Here is a 19,357-nt window from a genome sequence, read left to right as displayed (position 1 = left end):
TGGGTATTCTGTTGTTGAGTGGAGTATTTTATAAATGTCAGTTGAATCTGCTCTTCAAGTCTTATACGCCCTTATTGATTTTCTGTCAATTTGTCCTAACAGTTATTGAAAAAGGGGTATTAAAATTTCTGGCTGTAATTGTATGTGCCTAATTCTCCTTGTAGTTCTATTAGTGTTTGTTTCATTTATTTTGAAGCTCTGTCATTAGGTGCATACATCTTTGGAATTGTTACATTCTGATGAATTGATTTCTGTATCATTACAAAGTGATTTTATTTATTTCTGGTAATATTCTGTACATCTACTTTGTTGATGTTAATACAGCCTCTCCAGAGTTCTTTTAATTAATGTTAGTGTGGTATATCTTTTCCCATTCCCTTTCTTGCAGCTTATTTGTATCTTTACCTTTAGTGAGCCTGTGCCTCTGGACTGTGAAACTCACCAGTGCATCTCAGATCCCCCTCCTTAGGTGGGACAGGATGGCTGGAGGGGGCTGGAGGTGGGTGTTTCCTTTCTGTCAGGTCAATTAAGCATGGATAAAACTCCAGAAGGCTAGGATCTGGTTAGTTTCTCTGGAAGGTAGACCATTATTAAGAACAGATAGTCTGGTATATCTCAAAATGGCTCTTTTTCCCCTTCTCCCTGCTGGAAAGAACAAAGGGATTTTCCTTTGGTATTCACTGTGTGAACCTGGAGGAAAGACCGAGGAGGAAAAATTCACAAAAGCTGGGGGAAGGGGGACTGTGACTGGGTCTCTCTGGAGTTTTTAACTCCCAGGCTTATCCACACTGAGCCTCTGGCAATTTGTTGATTACACTTTAGGTTTTCTTGTTCCAGCACTGGTTCCTGCAGAGGTTTCTGCTCCAGTAAGTTGTAATTCTCTGTATTTGTCTGTCTGTCCATCCAATTTGAGGGACAGCAGTTTGCCCTGTGACCTCGCTTCTCTTAAGGATCTAAGAAGAGTTGCTTTTGTGGTTTGTTCAGCTTTATACTTGTAATGAGAATGGAGTGATGACTTCCAAGCTGTTTACATGCCACATGCCAGGCCAGAAACCAAGAGTTCTGTATCTTCATATTTAATGTGTGTTTCTTATAGGCAGCATATAGTTGGGTCTTGCTTTTTAATTCTGTTAGTCACTCTGTCTCTTAATTGGAATATTTGGACTGTTTACATTTAATGTATTATTGGTAGGCTTAAGTCTATTATTTTGCTCTTTATTTTCTATTTGTCCCACTTGTTTTTCCCTTTTTCATCTTTTTCTGCCTTCTTTAGGATTAATGAAATATTTCTTACAATTCCATTTTATGTGTTTTGTTGTTTTATTAGCTATTTCCCTTTGTTTTGTAATTTATTGGTTGCTTTATGGCTCATAGCATATATTTTTAACTTATCGTAGGCTGCCTTCAGGTGCTATTATACTACTTCACATGCAAGATAAGAACATTTTAATAGCATATTTTCATTCCTCCCTTTCAAAACTTTGTGCTATTGTTGTCATGCATTTTAACTTTATATATGCCATAAACCTCATACTACATTATTGTTCTTGTTTAAACAATTAATTATCATTTAAATAAATTTAAATAATAAAAATAAATCTTATATATTTACCTATAAAGTGTCAGTCCCAGGACTTTTCATTCCTTTCTGTAGAGCCATAATTCCAACTAGTATCATTTTCCTTCCACCTGAAGGAATTTCTTTAAAATTTCTTGCAATGCAGGTCCTCTGTTGAGACATTCTTTCAGCTTTTGTATACTTGTAAAAGTCATTATTGTGCCTTTGCTTTTGAAAGATATTTCTAATGGTCACAGAATTCTAGGTTGAAAGATATTTTTTCCTTCAGAACTTTAAAGATGTTCATCCACCTTCTTCTGGCTTACGTTGTGTCCCACAAGAAATCTGCTGTTATTCTCACTTTTGTTGCACTATACAAATCTTGCCTTTTATTTTCTGGCTGCAAGCAAGAAATTTTATCACTACTTTTGAGCAATTTGCTTATAATGCTCCTTGGTGTAGTTTTTTCTATGTTTCTTGTACTTTGCCTTTTTTGAGCTTCTCGAATCTATGGGTTTATAGTTTTCATATGTGGAAAATATTTGGCCATTATTTCAAGTATTTTTTTTTCTGTTCCCATCTCTCTCTTCTCTTTCACATAATTCAATTAAACAGATTAGACCACTTGACATTTTCCCAAAGTTCAATGATATTCTGTTAACTTTTAAAATAATATTGTCTTTCTGTGTTTCATTTTGGATTATTTCTATTGCTATGTCTTCAAGTGTGATCATCTTTTCTTCTTCAACATCTAATCTGACAATAATTCCATCCGTCCAGTGTATTTTTTATCTTACACATTGCAGTTTTTATCTCTAGAAATATGATGTGGGTCTTTGTTATATCTTCCATGTCTCTACTTAACTTTTTCATCATATGGAACACAGTCATCATAACTATTTTCATGCTCTTGCCTGCTCATTCTAACATCTGTGTCAGTCTTGGGCTGTCTTTGCTGATTTATCTCCTTATTAGGGGTTGCATTTTCTTGCTTCTTTGCATACTTGTTAATTTTTACTGGACTCCAGACATTGTGAATTTTATATTGTTAGGTGTTGGATTCTTGAGCTTTTCCTGAGATTCAGTTAAGTCATTTGGAAACAGTTTGATTCTTCAGGGTCTTGCTTTTAAGATAGTTTAGGAAGAATTGGAGCAGTGCTCAGCCTAGGGCAAATTATATCCCACGACTGAAGCAAGGCATTCTACCAATGCCCCAGAAATTATGAGGTTTTCCAGCCCCACTGTTAGGAACAGGCACTATTCCTGGCCCTGTGTGAACACCAGGCCTTAGTTCTGAGCCTTTCCCAACTCAGGTAGTTTCCTCATACTCAGAGGATGCTCAGTCCTCAACTGAATCCTGAAAGGGGCCCTCTATGGATCTCAGAGTTCTCTCTGTGTTCTGCTCTCCCCTCTGCAGCACCTCTGTCCTGCCAATTCTCACCACCTTGGTCTCCTCCTTAACTCAGGGAGTCCACCTGGCTCTGCCTGGATTCCTGCTTCCTGCTTCACGGCATGGACATTCTCTCCAGCAGTAAGATATGACAGCTGTGGAGTTCATCTGATTTGTTTCTAGCCTCTTACTCTACTCCATTGTCTACAGTGCCTTGAGAACTGATTTTTCATGTATTTTTGTCCATTTCTTGCTTATTGCAGGTGGAAGGATAAATCCAATTCACATTACTCCATCTTGGCTGGTAGCAGAAGCCTCAACTTTATTTAACTGTATTTAACTTTAATTTCAGTAACTAAGTGGCTAGTGCTGCCAAACTGAGCAGCACAGCTCAAGACTGTGGGTTCTGTGGGGACAGGAGCCATGTTGGCCTGGTTCCCTCCAGGTGCCCCAGCCACCGGCACAGCCTGGGTGCTCAAGAATGTTTGTTTAGTGAATGTGCACAGGAAAAGTGTAGTGAGCATAAGCCCTGGGCCTGGGGGAGGATAAGAGAGCTCCAGAAAAGTTGTCCCCAAAGTCCTCCCCTTCCAAGCATTACAGCCAGGGTCCTTGATGCCATGCTCCCTCCTATTAGGGGAGTTCTCCAAAACCTGGGGCTGCCCATGGTCCCTTGCAGCCAGGGAGGCTCTGCCACCCCTTGGCACCCCCACCTCCCATCACTGCCCCTCCCAAGAGATCTCTCATGTCCTAATGCTCCCCAGCCTCCCAGAGCCCAGACTCCAGAATCCCTCACCATGCTTGGATCCAGGACCCCTGCATTTTAAACCCATACCAGTGTGACCCAGCCTAGCAGTGTTCCTACCCTTTATGATCTAGGAAGAAAGACCTCAATAAGGCTAGAGGTCCCAATTTAAAAATGAAAAAAGAACTTGAATGGACATTTCTCCAAAGAAGATATACAAATGGCCAATAAGCACATGAAAAGATGCTCAACAGCACTGGTCATTAGGGAAATGCAAACCAAAACACTTCATACCCACTAGGATGGCTACAGCTATAAAGAAAAGAAAAGAACTGGGGATGAGGATGTGGAGAAATTGCAACTCTTGCGCATTGCTGGTAGGGATATAAAGTGGCGTGGTCACCGTGGAAAACAGTTTGGCAGTTCTTCAAAAGGTTGAATATGCCACATGACCCAGCAATTCTACTCCTAGTCATACACCCAAAAGACAAGAAAGCAGGGTCTTGGAGAGATATTTATACACCCATGCATGTAGCAGCATTCGTCACAACAGCCAGAAAGTAGAAGCAACCCAAGTGTTCATCAACAGATGAAGGACAAACACAGTGTGGTCCACTCATACTGTGGAATACTATTCAGCCCCGAAAAGGAAGGAAATTCTGACATGTGCTGAGACAGAGCTGAGCCTTGAAGACATTATGCTGAGTTAAATAAGTCAGATATAAAAGGACAAATACTGCATGATTCCACTCATGTGAGGTGTCTAGAGTAGGCAAAGTCATAAAGACAGAAAGTACAATAAAGGTGATCAGGGGCTGAGGGAAGAAAGAAGACAGAGTTGTTATTTAATGAGGATAGAGTTGTCAGGGGAGAGAGTTGTTATTAGATGGGGACAGAATTGTCTTGAGAGGGGAGAGTTGTTATTTAATGGGGAGAGAGTCACTGGGGGGAGAGTTGTTATTTAATGGGAATAGAGTTGTTGGGGGAGAGGGTTGTTATTTAATGAGGATAGAGTTGTTGAGGGAGAGGGTTGTTATTTAATGAGGATAGAGTTGTTGGGGAAGGGGGTTGTTATTTAATGGGGGTAGAGGTGTTGGGGGAGGGGGTTGTTATTTAATGGGGATAGAGTTGTTGGGGAAGAGGGTTGTTATTTAATGGGGACAGAATTGTTGGGTGAGGGGATTGTTACTTAATGGGGATAGAGTTGTTGGGGGAGGGGGTTGTTATTTAATGGGGGCAGAGGTGTTGGGGGAGGGGGTTGTTATTTAATGGGGGCAGAGGTGTTGGGGGAGGGGGTTGTTATTTAATGGGGGTAGAGGTGTTGGGGGAGAGGGTTATTATTTAATGGGGACAGAGTTGTTGGGGGAAGATGAGAAGCTTTGGGTATAGATAGAGGTGATGGTTGCACAACACTGAGAGTGTATTCAGGGCCACTGAATTACAGACTTACAAATGTTTACAGCGATAAAGATTATGTATATTTTAATACAATAGGAAAAAAAGGCTGGAGGTGTTCAGCCTACAGGCTGGGAATTCTCCAGCCATATGTCGTTTCTGGGCCACCCAGTCAGGGAGCTGTCAGAGTGAAGCCAATATTCCCAGCCTCCAAAATTGGACAGGAGGGAAGGGGGGCTGCTCATACCTTCCCTCAGCCCTGGCTAAGAACATTTGTCTTCCCAACGGCATAAATTTCACAGATCAAGTGGAAACAGCAGCTGTCCAAGGCTGATAGTGTCCTGAGCACCCATATTTTAGGGGCATGAACAGATGCGTGCTCTCGGTGGGCAGGAACTGAGGGTTCGTCCAGCCTCGGGTCAGTGTACGGGGTCGGGGAAGACAGGAGGGGCCCAGTACCCTTTCCTCCACAGTTAGCTTCGGCTGGATTTATGGCTTTTTATGAAACGAAGACGCTCCCTCTGCTCAGCCTCACTCCGGTCACTTCCCACCTCTTCCTGTCTCCCAGCCTCTGGCTCTGCCTCAGTTCCCCACCTGCACCACTGAGGGTAACTGTTGCCCCCTGGGGCCCCTCAGTTCTCACCCTCTCAGCCCTTCTCCCACCCACCCTCAGCGGCAGTGAACACAGCTTCCTTCTTCCCTAGGTCAGGCCAAATTTGCCCAAATTTAGGGCTGGCTTGCGGGCCCCCTGGCCACAGCTGACATCCCTGCTGAAGGAACCAACACAGACACACACACACACACACAGATACAGACACACACTCACACATGCACAGATACAGACACACACTCACACATGCACAGATACAGACACACACTCACCCACGCACATACAGACACATGTGGGCAGATACACAGACACGGATACACACGTTCATATGTCTGTGTGCCCACACACAGTTACAAAGATACACACACACACGTAGACACACATGCAGGCATACACAGAGATATACATAGACGCACACATACCCACACAGAGATACAGAAACACGCACACAAAGATACACACATATGCACACATCTGCATGCACGCACACACAGCAGCAAACCTGGGGATCCAAGTGCCTCTTGTAGCCAGACACAGCATCTGTGCCCATGGCATCCTTTGGAGGGGCTGCTCCAGAGTCCCCCAGGGCTCCAGCCCCTCATAAGCCCGCCAGGAGATGCACCAGCACACCAGGGCCTGCCTCTTGCTCGCCAACGCGGGCGAGAAGGGCACTCGGTCAGCCCCAGAGGGCTGCCTGAATTAAGTCTGAAATTGGCTGCCTGGAAGCCTCCTCTGGGCTTGGTGACCCCAACCGTCATGAGGACCCTCTCCTCAGAGCCCCCTTACTCAGCTCCCGGGGACCGCCTGACTGCGCAGGCCCAGTGGGGCGGTGGATGGGGTGGGCTTCCACACCCCTCCACGAGCAGCTCTGCACAGATGGACCCGCGTGCCTCACCGCAGTCCTTTCCATCCTGCCCCTGCTCCCCTCCCTTCTCACCCCCTCCACCTGGACCCCATCTCACGCCAGGCAGCCAGTTAACCCCTGCTGGTAGCCTTTCCATAGCCTCCCTCACTACATCTTGGTTTTTAAAATATTGAATTCATTGCCAACATTTCTAAACAGATCTCAGATCGAAGCCCAGGTTGCTGGCTTCTCGTGGTATATTGGAAGTCCCAGCCTGGCTCCTAAAGAGCAGCCGTCAGGGGGTACCCAGGGAAGCTCAGGGCGTGGCCCCCAGCCCTCCACTCCCTCAGCTCCCGCCTGATTTCTAAAGCAGCTGACTTCACCACGAGACCCCAGGACCAGGGCGGAGGAGGGCACAAGCCGCCTGGCACCATCTCCATCAGAACTCGGCTGGACAGCGGGGCTTTCTCTCCACCGGTGCTGGAGAACGCGGGAGCTTTGGGATGCCAGCCCCAGGACACCAGCTGCAGCCAGGGGCAGCCATGCCCACTGTCCAAGGAGGCACCAGGCCTAGGGGTGGCTGGGCCCAGTGAGAGGGGTGATGCCAGCGGGTGTGCCCACAGCAGAGGGCCTGGCCTGGCTGCAGCTCTCGACCTGAGTCAGAGGAGAGCCTGCCCAGACAGCTGGAGCTGTGGGGCCGCTGGAAGGAGGGGGTTACAGGGCACACAGTGGCCCCAGGGGAGGCTGTGGGGTAGGAAAGGAAACCACCCGCCGTGGGTGCTGCAGGCCGGACCTGTTTGCCAGAGGCAGGTTCACTCCTCCTAGTGATGTAATGGTGCCCGTCTGTAGAATAGAAGCACAAGGCTGGAAGACATTGTACAGTGTCTATTTCACCAGGTTCCCTGGCTGGTAGGTGGTACAACTGGGCTTTAGAGCCCTTTTCTGCAACACGAGGAGATGGTCAGGTCCACCCAGAAGTCAGGAAGCAGGAGGAGGAGTCCTCAAAGATAGGAACCTGCTCTATCCTTCAAGACACCGTCTGAACCCCTCCAAGCTCCGTTTGTCCCCTACTGTGGAATAGCGGGTGGGACAGGTGCTACCGCACTCTGGCCTCTCCTGACTGCCCGGCTCTGTGGCCACAATGTACTTGCTGCTGGCCCCAGGCATGGCCAGGAGGTGGGAGCAGCAGCCTTTGTGAGGGCAGGGAGTGAGTGCCACCAGCCTTGAGGGCTGAGAGTGCCCAAGAGGGACAGTGGGCCCAGGGTGTGTTCTAAAGGGAATTTCATGCCCTGGGCACTTTTCCAAGAGCTGGAATTCTGAGGTCCTGGGACGCTCGTGGCCCACCACCCTTAGGTTGCCAAACAGAGCCAGGATAGGTGTTGCGAGGGTTGCTGGAGCCCAGGTGTGGGGCCCAGGCACAGTCACACCAGCCCCTCTCGCTCCCCAGGATGCAGCACCCAATGGGGCAGTGAGACCCCTGAGACAGAGGCTGCTGCGTATGGAGGGCAGCACGGTGCAGAGACCACCCGCCAGGGGACTGGATAATGGGGCCAGGCTTGACGGTGTCTGTGGGGCAGGCAGGGTGGGCTCTTAATTGGAAAAGGAGGTGAAAAGAGAAGAAAGGACTGGAGGCTGAGGGAGCCAAAGCAGCCAGGAACGCCGTGGACAAAGGGTGGGTGGCAGGCGGGAGTCGGCACCCCCTGCATGGGGGCCTCAATAGGCGTGAGAGATCCCGCCCACCCGCACCCTCCCCACACACCCATCTGCAGGCTCCAGCCCAGCAGGCCCCAGGGCAGCTGTTTGGGGGAAGCAAGACGAAGTCTGAGGAGGGGGCTCCTCAGCCACAGGCCCCCCCAACAGAGTGGGAGCATCCTCCCAGAGGCCACAGTGAGCACTGTGGATGAATGGATGATGCGCGGAGGAATGAATGAATGAGCGGGTGAGTGGGCGTGTGAGCTCCCGACCTCGCAATGAATGAATGAGCAGGTGAGTGGGCCTGTGAGCTCCCGACCACGCAATGAATGAATGAGCGGGTGAGTGGGCGCGTGACCTCCCGACCACGCAATGAATGAATGAGCGGGTGAGTGGGCGCGTGAGCTCCCGACCTCGCAATGAATGAATGAGCGGGTGAGTGGGCGCGTGAGCTCCCGACCACGCAATGAATGAATGAGCGGGTGAGTGGGCGCGTGAGCTCCCGACCTCGCAATGAATGAATGAGCGGGTGAGTGGGCGCGTGAGCTCCCGACCTCGCAATGAATGAATGAGCGGGTGAGTGGGCGCGTGAGCTCCCGACCTCGCAATGAATGAATGAGCGGGTGAGTGGGCGCGTGACCTCCCGACCACGCAATGAATGAATGAGCGGGTGAGTGGGCGCGTGAGCTCCCGACCACGCAATGAATGAATGAGCGGGTGAGTGGGCGCGTGAGCTCCCGACCACGCAATGAATGAATGAGCGGGTGAGTGGGCGCGTGAGCTCCCGACCTCGCAATGAATGAATGAGCGGGTGAGTGGGCGCGTGAGCTCCCGACCACGCAATGAATGAATGAGCGGGTGAGTGGGCGCGTGAGCTCCCGACCTCGCAATGAATGAATGAGCGGGTGAGTGGGCGCGTGAGCTCCCGACCACGCAATGAATGAATGAGCGGGTGAGTGGGCGCGTGAGCTCCCGACCACGCAATGAATGAATGAGCGGGTGAGTGGGCGCGTGAGCTCCCGACCTCGCAATGAATGAATGAGCGGGTGAGTGGGCGCGTGAGCTCCCGACCACGCAATGAATGAATGAGGGGGTGAGTGGGCGCGTGAGCTCCCGACCACGCAATGAATGAATGAGCGGGTGAGTGGGCGCGTGAGCTCCCGACCACGCAATGAATGAATGAGCGGGTGAGTGGGCGCGTGACCTCCCGACCACGCAATGAATGAATGAGCGGGTGAGTGGGCGCGTGAGCTCCCGACCTCGCAATGAATGAATGAGCGGGTGAGTGGGCGCGTGAGCTCCCGACCACGCAATGAATGAATGAGCGGGTGAGTGGGCGCGTGAGCTCCCGACCACGCAATGAATGAATGAGCGGGTGAGTGGGCGTGTGAGCTCCCGACCTCGCAATGAATGAATGAGCGGGTGAGTGGGCGTGTGACCTCCTGACCACGCAATGAATGAATGAGCGGGTGAGTGGGCGTGTGAGCTCCCGACCACGCAATGAATGAATGAGCGGGTGAGTGGGCGTGTGACCTCCTGACCATGCAGGGGCTGGAAGCGCCCTCAGGATCCCCTGCCCAATCACTCACGCAGGGCAGGGTCCCTAACCCTCACTGCCCCCCGGGTGAGGATGTCTACTGGGCCTCCCCTCTCCCTCCTCCCTCCCTCCTTCCCCCTTTTCACCCCCTCTTTCTCCCTCCCCTCCCTCCCCCTCCACCTTTACCAGGCATTCTCACCTCCTCACTCAGAACTCCTGCCAACACTGCCCTCTGACACCCCCTCTGCAGCACCATGACCCTGAGTGCCCTTGGCCACCCCCACCAGACAGACCCTCAGGGATCAGCCCAGGCCTTCTGGTCTCCTGGGCCCACCAGGCCACCGCAGGACCATGCAGGACCCAATGCTCAGGGCCATGCACTCCAGCTGCCCAGGTGGGGGCACTGCCATTTCACACTCCCACCCTCACCATCACCCCCCGGCCTCGGCCCCATTCCCCATCCCAGCCGCCCCCTGCAGGCCCCACCCCCTACACCGCGAGATCCCCAATGCACCTCCTACTCTGCCTTGCTCATGTGGTCCCTCCACACCAAATGGGGGGACCATCTCTGCTGGGAGGTCCCTGCCCAGGTGCGGCCTAAACCCGGGAGGCCTGTGCAACAACCCCACTCATCTCCCCAGCAACCTCCACGAGGAAAGCCTTATGGTCAGAGCATGAAAGCAGGGGACTTTAGGGCCAGCCATGCTGGGGCCCAATCCAGCCCCATCTCTGTCCTGCCAGTCACACAGGGTGGCAGGTCCCATCCCACCTCTGAGCCTCAGTTTCCCCATTGAAACCTGCAGGCAGCATCCCCAGCCGGGACTGTTGCAGGGTCCTATGAGACGCTTGGTGCCAGGGAGGTGCCAGGCAGGTACACCACCAGCACAAGGGAGCAGGTCCCAGCTCCCTCCCCGGACACCGCAGCTCCCCAGCACTCCCCCAGAGCAGCCCCGCTGTGGGGGGTCAGAGCCTCCCAAGAGCAGGACCTCTGCTGTCACCAGGCACAGAGTGCCCATGGGGCCAGAGAGCTGGCCCAGGCCCACACAGCTTTCCCTGGACATGGGGGATGAGGGAGACAGGCCTCCCCTGGCCTCCCACTCCTAGCTCCTTCTGTCCCACCAGGGGGAGGGTCTCATGGGCACAAATTCCCCAGAACTACCCTTGAGTGAATGGCTGGTTCAAAACTTTTAATTATCAAAATATACATGTATGTCTATTTAATTTGCTTTTATGAAACTCAGATCTCAATTTAACCTGGATGGTCATCTGGCAGGTCACGGGAGGGCAGTTCCAGTCATTCATGACCTCTCCTCGTTCCTCTCTTCCACTGGTGAGGGTTGGGGCGGGCAGCTGAGGCCACCCTTCCTGGCAGACCAGGCCAGCACCCACCTCTCAGCCTGCCCGCCTGCGTGCGTGCCCACCAGCGAGGAAGATCCAGCCTCACCCTGAGCTGTGGAGAGGGCGGCCTGGGTCCCCGTGGTAGGCTTAGGCCCAAGCCTGAGGCTCTGGTGCTGGCCCTGCCTGATCCTGGCCACCTCCCTTTGGCTGGGTCCTCATGGGCAGAACCCACTCATGACAGATTGTTCTCTCATGGGGCAGTGGCACAGCTGCCCCACCTCCAGGGCTGCTGGCGCATTGTATGAGGCCACCTGTGAGAAGGAACCTGCCCAGCCCTGGCAGCTGGTAGGGGCTCAATCAATGGAGGTGACAATGACGCCGATGACAATAATGGTGAGGACGGTGGTGGCATCATGAGGAAAAAGAGTTGGTCATTGGAGGTTCTGGGGGTCAGATTTTTGGATCTCGGCCTGAAGAAGCGCCTTCGGAGCGCAGGGATTGTTTGCTTCACAACAAACTTCCTGAGCCTGCAGGCAGAGGTTGAGGAGGGCCCACCAGCGATGCCTGCGGCAAGGCCAGGTCAAGCCAGGCCTCCTGGATATCCCCGCCCCTGAGTGCCTGGCCCACTTCCCACCTCTCCTGGGCTGAATTACGTTTTCCCAACTTCCTATGCTGAAGGCGGCCCTCGGGGTGCGACTGCCTTTAGAGATTGGGTCTTTATCGAGGTTATTAAGGTGGAATGAGGTCACTGGGGTGGGGTCTGATACAGTCTGACTGGGGTCCTTGTAAGAAGAGGAGACTGGGACGCACACAGAGGGAAGGTGGCCATCCGTAGGCCAAGGAGAGAGGCCTCAGGAGAAAGCAGCCCTGCCCACGCCTTGAGCCGTCTTCAAGCCATGACATGAGAGAACCCACGTCTGCCGTGTGGGCGCCGGCTGTGGTCCTCCCGCAAACTCATGCACCACCCTCTGCAACCTGCCAGCACCACAAGGACACCCAGGCTCTGCAGGCCCTGCCACTGTCTGACCCCCAAGAGGGGCACGGACCAGCCCAGCCACCAGCCCCGGCAGAGCCCAGGTGTCCCAACTCCTTTAGATACAGACACCCCTGCCCAGAGGGGACAGCATTTCCTCCTGAGCGAGGAGCTGCTGTCCCCCAGGGCCTGGAGGCCTGGGCAGCCACCACTCAGATGCTTGTCTGTTTGTCCACTTTGTGCCTGCCACAAGCTCACTCGGCAGAGCAGGCAGCTCCAAAAATGGCCCCTCCTCACTGGTGGGGAGTCCTGGTCTCCCCACAGCCTTGGGTGGAGACAGGAGCCCCCATTCAGGCCTCTCCCTCTCCAGAGGTGCCCTGGGCCACCAGAGGGGCCAGCTGCTCCCCACATGCCCCCCAGCCCTCTCCAGCACCCCCCTGCCCATGATGCCCTGCTCCGCTCTCCTCCTCAGCAGGCCCGGTGGACTCACCCTCAGCCACCAGCGTCCAACCGCAGGGCAGATTTTGGTGACATCCAAATTGCCAGGCAGGTTGCAGAGGTTCCAGCAGTGTGAACCCGAGGAGGGACCCTGGGCTGATTTTCCCTGTCTCAGGCTGTCACATTCCCAGAGGCTTTTTCACCGAGGCTTTTAACAGCCGCAACTCTGCCCCAGAACAAATTATGTGCAAACCAGGCGGCTGCCGTTCATTCTCCCTCTGAGCCCTTGTTCCGGGCGGGGCCGGGGTGAGCATGGCAGCCCGGACGCCTCCTGGGGCTGAATCTGGGAGCCCAGCACCCCCAACCTGACCTCCCGGCTCAGGCTGCCCAGGGAGGGTGAGCAGGGCCCAGCAGCCCCCAAAGGCCCTGTCCTCCCATCCCGACACTGCCACAGGGTGACCGCAGTGCAGGGAGCCCCTCGTTCAGCAGTCGGCACCCCAAAGCCCTCTGCAGCCTGGAAATGCAGCACTTCCCCAAGGCTTCGTGTGGCCCCCAGGACCATTCCCCACTGCCCTGTGCACCACAGGCTGCAGGACCCACACAGGACTGGGAGCCGCTGGAGGTGCCAGGGGCCTCTCACCACCCCAAGCACACAGCCCCGGACCACGGCTCCGGGAGGTCCTGACTCACAGACTTGTGCTCTCAGTCCAGAGCGGAGCCCTCCCATAGACATCTGTCCCCTCCTCGGGGACACACACACTCTCACACTCACATCAATGCACAACACACACACTCTCACCCACTCACACATGCACACACTTCCGCTCGCTCACAGTGGCACACACCCCACGGCCAGCAAGAGGGCCCTGGCACTGCAGGCCTCCTGACTCCCCGGCCAGGGCACCCTGTGGCCCCAGCTCCTCTGGAGGGGCGGACTCTCAAAGGCCCCAGGGCCAAGACGGCATCTCTTGCACTGTAGAGTGCTGTGTAGGCCCTTCCCTGGACCAGTCTCTGAGCCCAACCAGGAGTAGGTCCAGGAAGGCAGCCATCACCATGAGACCTCTGAATCTGGGCACCCCAGCTGAGGGGACAGAGATGGCTCATTCTTCCCTGCTATCTGCCTGTCTCCCTCCCGCCCAGCTCTGGGCCACCTCCGAGGCAATGCTGGCCTGTGTCAGAGTGATCTCTGCATTGGGAAACAGCGTCAACGCTGGCCAAAGCCTTCATCCTGGCCAGGCTAGGAGTCATCCTGGGAGTGGCCCACGAGGCAAGGCAAACGCCTGCCCCGCCTGCCCAGCCCCTGGCCTCCCAGGACAGACTGCATTGCAATTCTGCTGCAGGTTGATACTTCCTGTCGACACATTAAACAGGCTTCTCTTGCATTCTGCCAGGGTCTGTGCATCTCCTCCACCCCCACAAGGATGCAGTGTGTTTGAGCTGTGTGTCAATCTCATCAGGGCGCAAAGGCGCTCTGCTGAGGTCTTTGCAGCGTCAATGAAAATCAGGTCCAGGAATCAGCCTAGGAGTCTGCTCAGCAGCAGCCCTGGCAGCCCCCATCCAGCAGGATCAGGGCCCTGCCCAAAGAGAGGTAGGTGCCACCCTTGCCCCTTGATGGCAAGGGGACTTCAAGTAAGCCTCTCCCATGTGCTCATTCTGTCCTTCTGTGGAAAATGTAACTGCTAGGGCTCTGGGTTAAGAGCTCAGCCAGGAGCCCGGACCCCACTTCCTGGCTCCCTAGAACCTTAGTTTCTTCATCATGGAATGGGATTTTTTTTTCCTTTTATCCAATTATGCTTTTTGCTATTGTTGCTTATAATCTTTTATTTATATTTTGTCCTTATTACTTTTCATATCATTATAACTGGCCAGATGTTTAACTTGTATCTTTTTTAATTTTTAATTTTTGTGAGTACATAGTAGGTGTATATATTTATGGGGTACATGAGATGTTTTGATACAAGCAGGGAATGTGAAATAATCGCATCATGGAGAATGGGGTATCCATCCCCTCAAGCATTTATCCTTATTCAGTTATTCTTTTAGCAATCAGTGCTGACTATGTGGCTGGCCTAATGTAGGAATTCAGCATACATATACCACTGTACACTAAACGTGAATGTCCCAGGGCCCTGAGGAAAGAGCTCTGGACCAGAAGTGAGCATGGTTCAGGCTACACACCTTCCACTCAGCAAATAGATGTTGTATAGCAGATGGCTCAGAGTTGAGGGTAAGAGTATGGGGTCTCCACCCAGACACTATCATCTGACTCCCACTTCAGCCTTTGTGAAGGTATCTGACCTTTAAAAATTATTTAAATCCCCTTGCCTTGTTTTCCTCCTTCAGAGAATGAGGATAATAGTTAGAGTCACTCTCAGGCCACTGAGAGACCAGATGGACTTCACTGTTCACAGAGCTCAGGCTATGCCTCGTCAGGATGGTGCTCAGGTGGTTCAGCTGCTGTTATTACTGCCACCCACATTATTGCTGTGTCCCCACTGGCTCTGCCAGGCCATTGAGGCTGGAAAAGGGCGCCAAGTGTCAGTGACCATGATGCATTCTCCATCCTAGGGGGCAGCTAGCCAGGGGAAATGAGGAGGGTCATTGTAGATGGCAGGAAACCCAGAGATCCATCCTGGATCCACCCTGGGGTGGGTGTCACCTGCTCTTCAGAATGCAGTGGAAAACACCAGGTGAGGGAGAAGTCCTCACCTGTCTGTAGCTCGGGCAAGGTTGAGGTATCCCCTTGCTGCATCCCCCTTTCCCTCACACCAGCCTCAGCCTCCTGCTCTGTGTCTTGCCTTGGGTGGCTGGAAGAGGAGCAGGCCAGGCTGTGTCACTGTGAACTGGGAAGCACCCTCTATGGGCAGGGATGGGGTTTCTGTTGACCACCCACTGTCCTGGGCCTGAGCAGTCATCCTGCATGGGAAGGCCGGGGATCTGACCCTGACCTCCCCACTTAGTGGATCGTTCACTTCCCATGCAGGGCAGGGGACAGGTGTCTGCTCACACCTGCTCAGGGAGGGTAACAGGCTCTATCTTGGCACAGAGAGGACCCCAAGAGGCTGGGAGCCCAACAGCACATGCCCCCTCCACAGCCATGCAGTCCCCAGAGCCCACAGTGTCCACTGCCTTGGGAGCCCTCCCCAGCCCATCCTTATCCCTCCAAGCCCCCTTCCCACCCCCGACAGCTCTTCCACCTGCCGCAGCTGCAGGAGAGCAGAAGGGGCACCGACCACCAGGAGCCGCGGGCCCCAGGGCCACAGCATGCTTCTGGCCGGGGCAGGAATTCAGGGTCAGGGGAAAGGACTAATTATGGCTCGAGGATAAAAACGTGAGCCAGGCAGCTGTGTGCATGGAAGGAATGCTCCCCTCAGAGACACGTTTTCCGACTCCTGGACTGCCGAGAATGCACGCTTTGACATTTATGAGGCCCGGGTCCCCCATAAACCCAGATTCCAAAGCGGCGGACAGCTGGTCTGATCCTGGGCATCCAAGGTTGCAGAGCCCTGGGCCCCACGGCCATTTACAATGGGGACATTTGCATTCACTCTGCAGCTGAGGAGCCTTGCTTCTGGACCTGCTGACATTTGCTGAGCAGCTACGGAGCCCAAACTGCAGAATCTGGAGTCACCTTCGCACCGGCAGCAACTTGAGAAGTGCAGGAGATGTGTTCCTTCAGCAGCTGAGGGGACAGAGGCTCCAAGAGGCTGAGAAGCTCCGTCGAGGCCAGGAGCCAGCCGTAACCAGCTGTCTCCCTGCACATAACTGCCCGCTCCAGCAGCACAGGCCCTGGCTGGTTGTTATGCTTTCCAATAAGAATCAAATTGGAAAACAGTTTCCAAATGTCAGCAGTGTTCTTGTTGGGCAGCAGTACTATTGAGAGATGGTTGCTCTTTATTTCCTTTTCTATATTTTCTGCTTTTTCCTGTCCTTACAACAGAAAATAGGAGATGTCTCTGTCCATAAGTAGCAGATTAGTGACTAGGACCAACTCTTCCACTGAACACAACTAGAAAAGCTGGATTAAAATATTTCAATTGGCCAGGCATGGTGGCCCATGCCTATAATCCCAGCACTTTGGGAGGTCAAGGTGGGTGGCTCACTCGTGGCCAGGAGCTCAGGACCAGCCTGGACAATATAGAGAAACCCCGTCTCTACTACCAAAAATACAAAAAAAAAATAATAATAACCTAGCCTAATGTGGTGGCGCACACCTGTGGTCTTAGCTACTTGGGGGGCTGAGGTAGGAGGATCCCTTGAGCCTGAGAGGTGGAGGATGCAGTGAGCCACGATCAGCCTAGGTGACAGAGTGAGACCCTGTCTCAAAAAAAAAATTTTTTTCCAATCTTCTTTAAAGCAGAAAAGAGCAAATCAGGTAGCAAAGAATGCACTACCAGGCCAAAACCTTGGAGGAGTTGAGAGCCCAGCAAGTACTGCAAAACATAAGCAAGAGTCAGCTGCTTCTGCTTTAAAGAACTTTGCAGCCTCAGGAATGACTGTTGCACCCATCAGCCCCCTCAATGGCAGGTGAGGGAGAACCAGCAAGGCTCAGAGGACTCTTAAGAGCCAGCCATGGGCATCTTTTTCCAATCCCACACTCAGTGATGTTGTGTTGGTAACTTGAAGTCAGCCATGGCAGGAGTGTTTACACCATGGGAATTGGCAGGTGCTACAGATCAAAACTGTTTTTTTTTATGAAGAGCCAGTTATTAATTATTTATCAGCATGGCATTAGGGACAACAGAGTCAAAGCCCAGAGTTGGTAAGAGAGAGGAATCCGACAAGGCCCCAACTCTAAGCCTGAAGGCCATGGGTGAGTCAGAAGTAAATCAGTCCTTGTGTGGGCCTGCCATTTGTGATGGTGACTTCAGAGGTCCTGCTCCAGGAAATCTCAAGGCTTAAACTTCGTGTAAAATACTTCCAGACAGGTAGTGCCCCACTAGGCACCTGCAAAAAGCAAACCAACACCATCCTTAAAGAAAGGTACTATTGGCCAGGTGCCGTGGCTCATGCCTGTAATCCCAGGACTTTGGTATACTTGAGGTCAGGAGTTGGAGACCAGCCTGGCCAACATGGTGAAACTCTGCCTCTACTAAAAATACAAAAATTAGCCGGGTATGGTGGCACATGCCTGTAATCCCAGCTACTCAGGAGGCTGAGGCAGGAGAATCGCTTGAACCCGGGAGGTGGAGGTTACAGTTAGCTGAGCTCACACCACTACACTCCAGCCTGGGCAACAAAGTGAAACTCATCAAGAAAAGAAAAGAAAAGAAGAGGGGAGGGGAGGGGAGGGGAGGGGAGCAGAGGGGAGGGGAGGGGAGGGGAGAGGAGAGGAGGGGAGAGGAGAGGAGAGGAGGGGAGGGGACAGAAGAGGAGAGGGGAGGAGAGGAGAGGAGAGGAGAGGAGGGGACAGGAGAGGAGAGGAGAGGAGAGGAGAGGAAAGGAGAGGAACTATCATCCTAAGGCTCAAATTATTCTTACAAGCAATTTTTCAATACAATCTCTAGCACACAAAGATAACCACACACAAAATGAAATTAAATTCACAATCAAGAGCCAGCAAAAACAAAAGACAATAGAAACAGATGCACAAAGACTTCAGGTTTTGGAATTATAAGCAGAAGATCAGATCACATCAAATAACGATGCTTGCTAAGTTTAAAAGATTCAAAAATTCAAACATATCACAGGAGACTGAAAACTATAAAACATGTCAGAGAAGATTTGGAAAAGAACCAAATAAAAATATTTAAAACTGAAAATTAACCAAAAATTAGAACTCAATGCCTAAGTTGTTTTTTTTTTTGTTGTTGTTGTTGTTTGAGACAGAGTCTGGCTCTGTCGCCCAAGCTGGAGTGCAGTGGCGCGATCTCAGCTCACTGCAAGCTCCGCCTCCCGGGTTCGCGCCATTCTCCTGCCTCAGCCTCCCGAGTAGCTGGGACTACAGGCACCCGCCACCACGCCCGGCTAATTTTTTTTTTTTTTTTTTTTTTTTTTTTTTTTTAGTAGAGACGGGGTTTCACCGTGTTGGCCAGGATGGTCTTGATCTCCTGACCTCATGATCCGCCCGCCTCAGCCTCCCAAAGTGCTGGGATTACAGGTGTGAGCCACCATGCCCGGCCAATGCATAAGTTTTAACAGCAGATTTTATACAGCTAAAGAAAGATGAATAAACTAGAAAACCAATCTAAAGACAGTGTCCAAAATGCAACAGGAGACAAAACCAACCAAACAAACAAACAAAAACAGGAAAAACAAATTCAAATTGTATTTCTACATCAACAAACAAGTAAAAAAATGTAATTTAAAAGCATCAAAGAATATTGGGCATCTAGGAATATATCTAACAAATTTATCTGAGACTAAAAATTGTATTGACAGAAATAAGGAACACCAAATAACAAGATAAAACATGCTCCTGTATTGGAAGATACAACCTGTGAAGATGCCAGTTCTTCCTGAATTGCTTTGGTTCAATAATATTCCACCCAAAACCCCAACAGCACTTGGTTCTGTGTCTATGGGAAGCTTAACAAACTGACTGTATAATGTGAATAGTAGCATAAAGAGCCTAGAGCTGCCCGGATACCCTCAAGGAAGAATTTTTTTTTTTTTTGTAAACCTATAACTGCTCAAAAAATAGTCTTTTTTTCTTTTCTTTTTTTTTTTTTTTTTTTTTTGAGATGGAGTCTCACTCTGTCACCCAGGCTGGAGTGCAGTGGCGCAATCTTGGCTCACTGCAACCTCCACCTCCCAGGTTCAAGCTATTCTCCTGCCTCAGCCTCCCAAGTAGCTGGGATTACAGGCATGTGCCACTATGCCCAGCTAATTTTTGTTTTG

At 51.8% G+C, this 19,357-nt stretch overlaps 1 long non-coding RNA gene across 3 annotated transcripts in view; it reads right to left on the bottom strand.

The window, feature by feature from the left end:
• LINC02691 (long intergenic non-protein coding RNA 2691) overlaps positions 1-19,357 on the bottom strand; it is a 64,486-nt gene that overhangs the window by 27,509 nt on the left and 17,620 nt on the right. The window contains exon 2 of one of the 3 annotated variants that reach the window (NR_146611.1): positions 14,411-17,464. The exons of the other annotated variants lie outside the window; for them this stretch is intronic. This is a non-coding gene — a long non-coding RNA (long intergenic non-protein coding RNA 2691). Of the gene's footprint in view, positions 1-14,410; positions 17,465-19,357 lie in introns of those variants that run through there. 3 annotated transcript variants of the gene reach the window in all.

This window comes from Homo sapiens, chromosome 14, assembly GCF_000001405.40.
Source record: "Homo sapiens chromosome 14, GRCh38.p14 Primary Assembly".
Lineage (NCBI taxonomy): Eukaryota > Metazoa > Chordata > Mammalia > Primates > Hominidae > Homo > Homo sapiens.
Note: the sequence above shows the minus strand (reverse complement) of the source record. Positions and strands in the feature narration are given on the sequence as shown.